The sequence below is a fragment of the Homo sapiens genome, chromosome 1, assembly GCF_000001405.40.
Source record: "Homo sapiens chromosome 1, GRCh38.p14 Primary Assembly".
Classification (NCBI taxonomy): Eukaryota; Metazoa; Chordata; class Mammalia; order Primates; family Hominidae; genus Homo; species Homo sapiens.
In genome coordinates this window covers 3,725,080-3,732,002 of record NC_000001.11, presented here as the reverse complement: position 1 = coordinate 3,732,002, position 6,923 = coordinate 3,725,080, and the positions used below count along the sequence as shown (strand labels likewise).

The window sequence follows — 6,923 nt, the reverse complement described above, 5'->3', positions numbered from 1 at the left end:
GCCATGGGTGCCAAGAGCTGTGTGGCCTCGGGCCAGGTGCTTGCCTTCCCTAGGTCCCCTTTCCTGTCTGTGTAAATGGCGCTGACCTCTCTGTAAATGGCACTGAACTGGACTGACTCCCTCGGGGCCTTACATTCTTCTGTTCTTTGTGCCTTGGAAACAGCCCATCCCCTAAAATCAAAGGCACACTGGCTGCTGGGAGTCCAAAAAGGCTCAAATGACCAGTTCAGCATCCGGAGGCCTGGGCCTGTGTCCCGCGCCACCAGCCACGTGCCTGGCTGCATCTGCCTAAGCTCTCAAGAGTCAAATCATCGCATCTGCTTGCCCGTGGGAAAGGGTTTCCAAGTTTCCCAGCCACGAGAGCAAGGAAGAGAAGGCTCTTTGCCCTCCGGACAGGGGCCCCTCCAGCTACTGCCTCTGCAGAGCGGGGTCCACCCGGGCGTTACCTCAATGGTCAGGTTCTGCAGGTGGTAAATGCTCTGTAACCCTTGGGAGGTGAAATACTCGATGCAGTTTGGACACCCCAATCCTGTTAAAAAACTGCAGAGAGAATTTGAGAAAGGAAGCAGCATTAGCTTCCGAGCACAGGGCTGCGCGAGCCCCCATCTCTGAGAGTGGCCTGGCTGGGGCGGAGACTGCCGCTGTCTCCGAAGGGTGGCTCCAGCCCACAGGTGGCCACGGCATCCCTCAGGGAGGGGACGTGCTCAGCTGGGGACAGGTCAGTGGAGGACCCCGGCTTTTTGTGCTTTTCCTCTAAGTGGACCATTTCCCCAGCATCTGCAGATGCTCCTGGCCTGACTGCCCCCGCCCGCCTGTCTGATCCAGGGTTGCGAGTGGTGAGCACACAGGGTGGGGCAGGGCAGCTGACATGGCCAGAAGGACAGAGGTGAACAGACAGGGTGACAGCACATGCTCAGGCCCTCGGCAGCCCACGCACCTGACGAGGCTGGGGTCGGCGTGGTAGGGGGGTGGCGGAGTGCAGTGGGACCCCGAGACCATGGACTGGGCGCTGTGGCTGCTGCTCATCTCGCCGTTGGCTGGCACTGCGTGGCCATGGTTGTTGAGCATCCCGGGGCCTGGGTGAGAGGCAGGTGGGGCCATCAGGGCAGCCAGGCTGGGCATCCAGGTGCAGCCTCCACCCAGGCTCCAGACACCTCTGGACACCAGGGAGCCATCCCAAGGCCTGGCGATGTGACGCTGGGCATCACCCCTGCCAGCTAGAGGCTTGAGCAAGGGCTGAACACCTGGGGCCCTGTCTCCTCGCCCCGCCTAGTAGGGACGGGGGTGACCGTGCGTACGGGGCACTGGGTTGTAAGGGCAATCGCAGCTGGCACTGGAGTGCTGGCCACATCCCAGGGCCTCAGGAAACACCTGGGGGTGCTTGCTCACGGCACTGGGAACATGCTTGGTCCTGCCCACATGAGGACCTTCCAGGGGAAGGGGGCCCAAACTCTATCCAATGGAGCCCCCGGCTTGTGCTGGGGCCCCTGATGAGGTCTTGCACCATTTATTCCTCACAAGGAGTGAGCCTGGTACTTCTGTGGCCATTTGCTGATGGGGAAACAGGCTGTGTAATGTTAAGAGCCTTCCCCAAGCTCCCTCGCCTGCCAAGAGGCAGTGCATGCATGTGGGTTCCACGCTCTTAACCACGCCCCCCTCCACCTCCCACAGCCAGGAGTGGGCAGAGAGGGCTATCCGTGGCTGCGCCTCCTGCCCAGAGGGTGGAACCGCTGGAAGGAGCCAGCCACAGAGACACCTGCCCTGGGTCCCGAGCTGGGTGGTGTGTCCTGAGCTAGGCGCCCCCAGTGGGCCTCCCCGCCCTGCCCGTGGGCCCGCACTGCCCAAGGGACTCACCCACGGGCCCCAGGTTGGGTGTAGCTGCCGAACTGTGCGGGGGAGGCTGGCCCACCAGCTGGTTGACGGAGGGCAGCTTGTTCATGCCCCCGTGCACCTTGTTCATGGGCGAGAGGACCGGCCCGTAGGACGGGGGCTGTAGGTGACTCCTGCTCAGAAGCAACGGCTCGCATGGGTGGGAAGCAAGGCAGCCTCGTGCCCACCGACCACCCATGCCCGTGATGCCCCCATGCTGCGAATGGGTGGAGCCTCTGATGTCAGAGAGTGGCTTCATCCTCCCCCAGCCTCCCTGTCCCCAACCATGGCCATGCACGGCCACTGGGCCTGCGCCTGAGAAGGACACTGGCCATGGCGGGGCCGGGAGGCAGGGGGATGACCTGTGCCACTGGAATCGGACTCTGGTCTTGGTGGGTCATGGTCACTCTGGCCACCCCTCCTGGCCTTTCCACTCAGCAGACATTTACAAGGCCCCTCAGTGGCAGAGGCATAGCAAGGGCCATGACCCAGGGTCCCAGGGCAGCCCCAAGTGCTAGAAGGCTTCCTGGAGGAGGAGATGTGGGGTGGGCTCTGCTCTGGACCCTGCTGCCTGTCCCTGGCAGATGATGCCTTCTGGAGGGGTTTCTGGTCCTCCTGGCCTTCTCCTGGGGGGTTAAGCCATGTCCTCCTTCCCCACACTGATGGTGGGCTAGGGCTGACTCACGGCCTCTGTAGGAGCTGCTGCTGCTGCCGATAGGAGTCCACCAGTGGCTGCGGCACCAACTCCATCAGCTCCAGGCTCTCTTTCAGCTTCATCAGGATCTCAAAGTTCTCCCGGCCTCGCACCTGAGCACAGAGGAGCAGATCTCTGCCCACGTGCCCCAGACCCCCACGGGAGGGGGGTGGCCGCAGCCTCAGGAGGACCTGGGCTTGGCAAAGCATCTGTCCTTTCTGGGGGTTCCCCAGCACCCCAGAGGCTCAGGATCCCCTGATCTTCTTTCCTCTTCCCAAGAAGCAGGTCTAACCAGAGCCCCTGACTCAGTGGGCAGGTATCCTGTCCCCAAGAACCATGCCTGCTCCTTGTGGCCCCCAAGCCTCCCTCTTCCTCCCCTACCAACAGATACTGGGTTTTTAGAAACCAAGTCTGTCTCTCTCTGTCTCTCTGTCTCTCTCTCTCTCTTTCTTTCGACAGCGTCTTGCTCTGTCGCCTAGGCTAGAGTGCAGTGGCATCATCATAGCTCGCTGCAGCCTTGGACTCCTGGGCTCAGGCGATCCTCCTGCCCTCAGGTGATCCTCCTGCCTCAGTCTTCTGAGTAGCTGGGACTGCAGCTGCACGCCACCACCACGCCCAGCTAATTTTTGTAGAGATGGGTTCTCACCATGTTGCCCACTTTGGTCTCAAACTCCTGGGCTCAAGTGATCCACCCGCCTCAGCCTCCCAAAATGCCGGGATTACAGGCATGAGCCACTGACCCCAACTGGGGCTCATTCTGGAGCTCAAAAAACAGAAAGTTCACATCATGGAAGATGACTCCCAGCCAAGCCTGTGCCGATTTAATTCACCTGTTGGAGGCCACATGTGAGAGGCACACTCATGGGGGCTGGCCGTGGCCACGGGTCCTGGCCAACGTTAGGGTCCTGGATTCTTGCTGAACTTCTACCCTGGTGGCACTCCGCACCACCCTACCTGTGCTATGTACACATGGCTTCATTGTAAATGGCATGACGCTGGGTTTTTGGGACTGAGGGGACTCTCAGGAATGCCCTGCAGTTGGGTCCTGCTGGTCTGGCTCTTGCAAGCAGGTTCTGCCCTCTGGACCCTCTCACACAGGGCTGGGCTCCTCCCGCCCCCTCCACCATGGTCTCCAGAGTCCCTCCCCATGGCCCAGCCTGGGCTCAGCAGACGACAGAGGTGAGGCAGGTCTCCCGGCTGCCGTGCAGGAGCACACACTCACCTGAAGGTAGTACGTGTCCTCGTCTCCATGCCGCCGCTTCTTCACACCGGCACCAAGGGCGGGGACGGCAGGGGGGCTCTGCTTGAAGGCTGGAAGGCCAGGCAGGGCAGGCGGGGTGAGCAGGCAGGACCAGAGGGTGAGGCCTCCTTCCGGGAGGAGGGAGACCTGCCCCACCCTTGGGGCCAATCGATTCTCCAGGTGGGTCCGGTGGTGAGCAACCCACAGGGACGGGCAAACCTGCGGTGCCACCCAGGCCTCTGAGGTGCCCTTGGCCCAGGACAAGCGACTTATATGGGGGCTGCTCTCAGGCTCCGTCAGGGAGGAGTCTGGGCGTGGGGGGCCGTTCAGGGACTGGCCCTGTCCCTGGGACGCGGGCTCACATTGTGTCCTGCCAATGTGTCCCCTTCTCCTCCCACACGCGTCCAGTTCCCCTGGCCGGCCGCTCACCACGCTTGCTGGCGGCCCCGTTCTTGGCGGAGCTCTCGTTCAGGGCCTGCTGCTCCCGGTAGTGGTCCTCATCAGCTTTTCGGTCGCGGCCAGGACAGGCGCAGATGCGGCCCTCAAAGGACCGGCGGCCCAGCACCTGCCCACTGTCGGGTGGGCACAGCCAGAATTGTGAGCTCAACCCTGCCCACCCTCAACCTGCCCACCTTCCCCACCCACCTCGGACCCTGCAGGACCGGCCTTGAGAGCCCTCGGTCACCACAGAGCACCCAGTGCCGGCAGCGAGTGTTCCCGCTAGAGGGAGTCAGAGGCTCAAAGCTGTGAGGCTGCCCTGAGACCTCGCCGGGGACTCCCACCTCCCTCCGGAGGCCCAGCTTGTGCCCAGGCAGGCCCTGCAGGCCAGGGGGCGGTTCCTTCCTCCAGCAGCACACCCCAAAGTCTCTTCCCCAAGCTAGCCTTGGCCTGCAGGTCTCCATGACAGCTCCCCTTCTCCCCCGGCCGTGCCTGCCCAGCCCTGTCCCACCTCCACCCCGTGTGCCCGGGACTCACTCCCGCATCTCCAGGGTGATGATGATGAGGATGGGCCGCCGGTTCATGCCCCCTACACAGCTGCTGTTACACATGAAGTTGTACAGGATGGTGGTGAATTCCGTCCCCACCTGCACATGGGGGAGCAGGGAGAGGGGCTAGCATCAGCACGCAGCCCCAATCCACTAAGGTGGCAGCCCCCAGCTCCATGTCTGGTCCTGGCTCCACGTAGGCAGGGGGATGCCCTGCTCTATAGTTGTTGCCATTTGTATATCTGTCCACTCATTCATCCATCCACCAACCCACCCCATCCATCCATCCATCCGTCCATCCATCCATCCATCGAACCCATTTATCTATTCATCCATCCATCCATCCATCCATCCACCAACCCCATCCATCCACCCACCCATCTATCCATCCATCCATCCACTCCCCCATTTATTATCTACCCATCCATCCACCTACCCATCCATTCAATATCCATCCATGCATCCATCCACCAACCCCATCCATCCACGAACCCCATCCATCCACCCACCCCATCCAACCATCCATCCACCCACCCATCCATTCAATATCAATCAATCCATCCATCCATCCACCCCATCCATCCACCCACCCGTCTATCCATGCATCCATCCACCCCATCCATCCATCCATCCACTCCCCCACTTATTATCTACCCATCCATCCACCTACCCATCCATTCAATATCCATCCATCCATTCATCCACCAACCCCATCCATCCACCCACCCATCCATTCAATATCAATCCATCCATCCACCCATCCACCCACCCACACGTCCACCCCCAACACCCACCCCATCCATCCATCCATCCATCCACTCCCCCATTTATTATCTACCCATCTATCCACCCACCCATCCATTCAATATCAACCCATCCATTCATCCATCCACCCATCCACCCACTCCATCCATCCATCCATCCACCCACCCACCCACACATCCACCCCCCACACCCACCTCATCCATCCATCCTATCCATCCATCCATCCACCCACCCACCCCATTCATCCATCCATCCACTCCCCCCATTTATTATCTATCCATCCATCCAACCATCCATCCACCCACCCATCCATTCAATATCAATAAATCCATCCATCCATCCACCCACCCACCCATTCAATATCAATAAATCCATCCATCCACCCACCCACCCACCCACTCCATCCATCCACCCACACATCCACCCCCACACCCACCCCATCCATCCACCCATCCCATCCATCCATCCACCCATCCACCCCATCCATCCATCCACTCCCCCCATTATCTGTCCATCCATCCAACCATCCATTCACCCACCCATCCATTCAATATCAGTCAATCCATCCATCCATCCACCCACCCACCCACTCCATCCATCCACTCACCCACCCACATATCCACCCCCCACACCCACCCCATCCATCCATCCATCATCCTATCCATCCATCCATCCACCCCCCCACCCCATCCATCCATCCACTCCCCCATTTATTATCTATCCATCCATCTAAACATCCATCCACCCACTCATCCATTCAACAATATCAGTCTATCCATCCATCCATCCACCCACCCCATCTACCCATCCCTCTACCCACCCATCCATTCAACATCCCTCTACCCAACCATCCATTCACCCACCCACCCATCCATCCATTCACCCACCCACCCCATCCATCCGCCCACCCTATTCATCCATCCGTCCACCCACCCATCCATTCACCCATTCACCACTCCATCCATTCATCCACTCACCCACCCACCCCATTTATCCATCCATCCATCCACCCACCTACCTACCCATCCATCCATTCATCCACCCCACCCACCCCCATCCATCCACCCATCCACCCACTCACCCCATCCAGCCACCCATTCATGAAGATCACTGAACCCCAAGCACTGGGCTGGTTCTGGGTTCTGGGAGGGCTCAGACCTGGTCTCTGCTCTCAGAGAAGCACAGAGTCCTGTGGTCTGTTTGCCCCAACCTTCTCCCCTGACACAGGCTGGAGGTCAAGCCCAGATGCTGGGTGTGAGTGTGCCTGCACAGATTTTGTGGCCCTACGTGTGTGTTGCATGCTGCGGGCTCACCTGGGCAGAAAGAGGAACCAGAGCTGTCCCCAGCGAACCCACCCCCAGCACACTCC

The 6,923-nt window shown here is 60.2% G+C and overlaps 1 protein-coding gene across 15 annotated transcripts in view, besides 1 other annotated feature; it reads right to left on the bottom strand.

Annotated features, from left to right (window-relative positions):
* TP73 (tumor protein p73) overlaps nucleotides 1–6,923 on the bottom strand; it is an 83,686-nt gene that overhangs the window by 4,199 nt on the left and 72,564 nt on the right. For 5 of the 15 annotated variants that reach the window (NM_005427.4, XM_047429524.1, XM_047429521.1 and 2 more), the window contains 7 exons: nucleotides 4,779–4,888; nucleotides 4,233–4,375; nucleotides 3,786–3,874; nucleotides 2,555–2,676; nucleotides 1,855–2,003; nucleotides 938–1,076; nucleotides 447–540 (listed from right to left, as the gene is read on the bottom strand). In NM_005427.4, the coding sequence (NP_005418.1) occupies nucleotides 447–540; nucleotides 938–1,076; nucleotides 1,855–2,003; nucleotides 2,555–2,676; nucleotides 3,786–3,874; nucleotides 4,233–4,375; nucleotides 4,779–4,888 (846 nt within the window). The remainder of the gene's footprint in view (nucleotides 1–446; nucleotides 541–937; nucleotides 1,077–1,854; nucleotides 2,004–2,554; nucleotides 2,677–3,785; nucleotides 3,875–4,232; nucleotides 4,376–4,778; nucleotides 4,889–6,923) is intronic. The other 10 variants (NM_001204184.2, NM_001126241.3, NM_001204185.2 and 7 more) reach the window with 5 other exon arrangements.
* Nucleotides 4,283–4,382: an enhancer, noted in NCBI's record as "active region_65". NCBI's record gives its function as "activates an Ori minimal core promoter by ATAC-STARR-seq in GM12878 lymphoblastoid cells {active_cell/tissue: GM12878}" and the evidence as "EXISTENCE:reporter gene assay evidence [ECO:0000049][PMID:35858748]".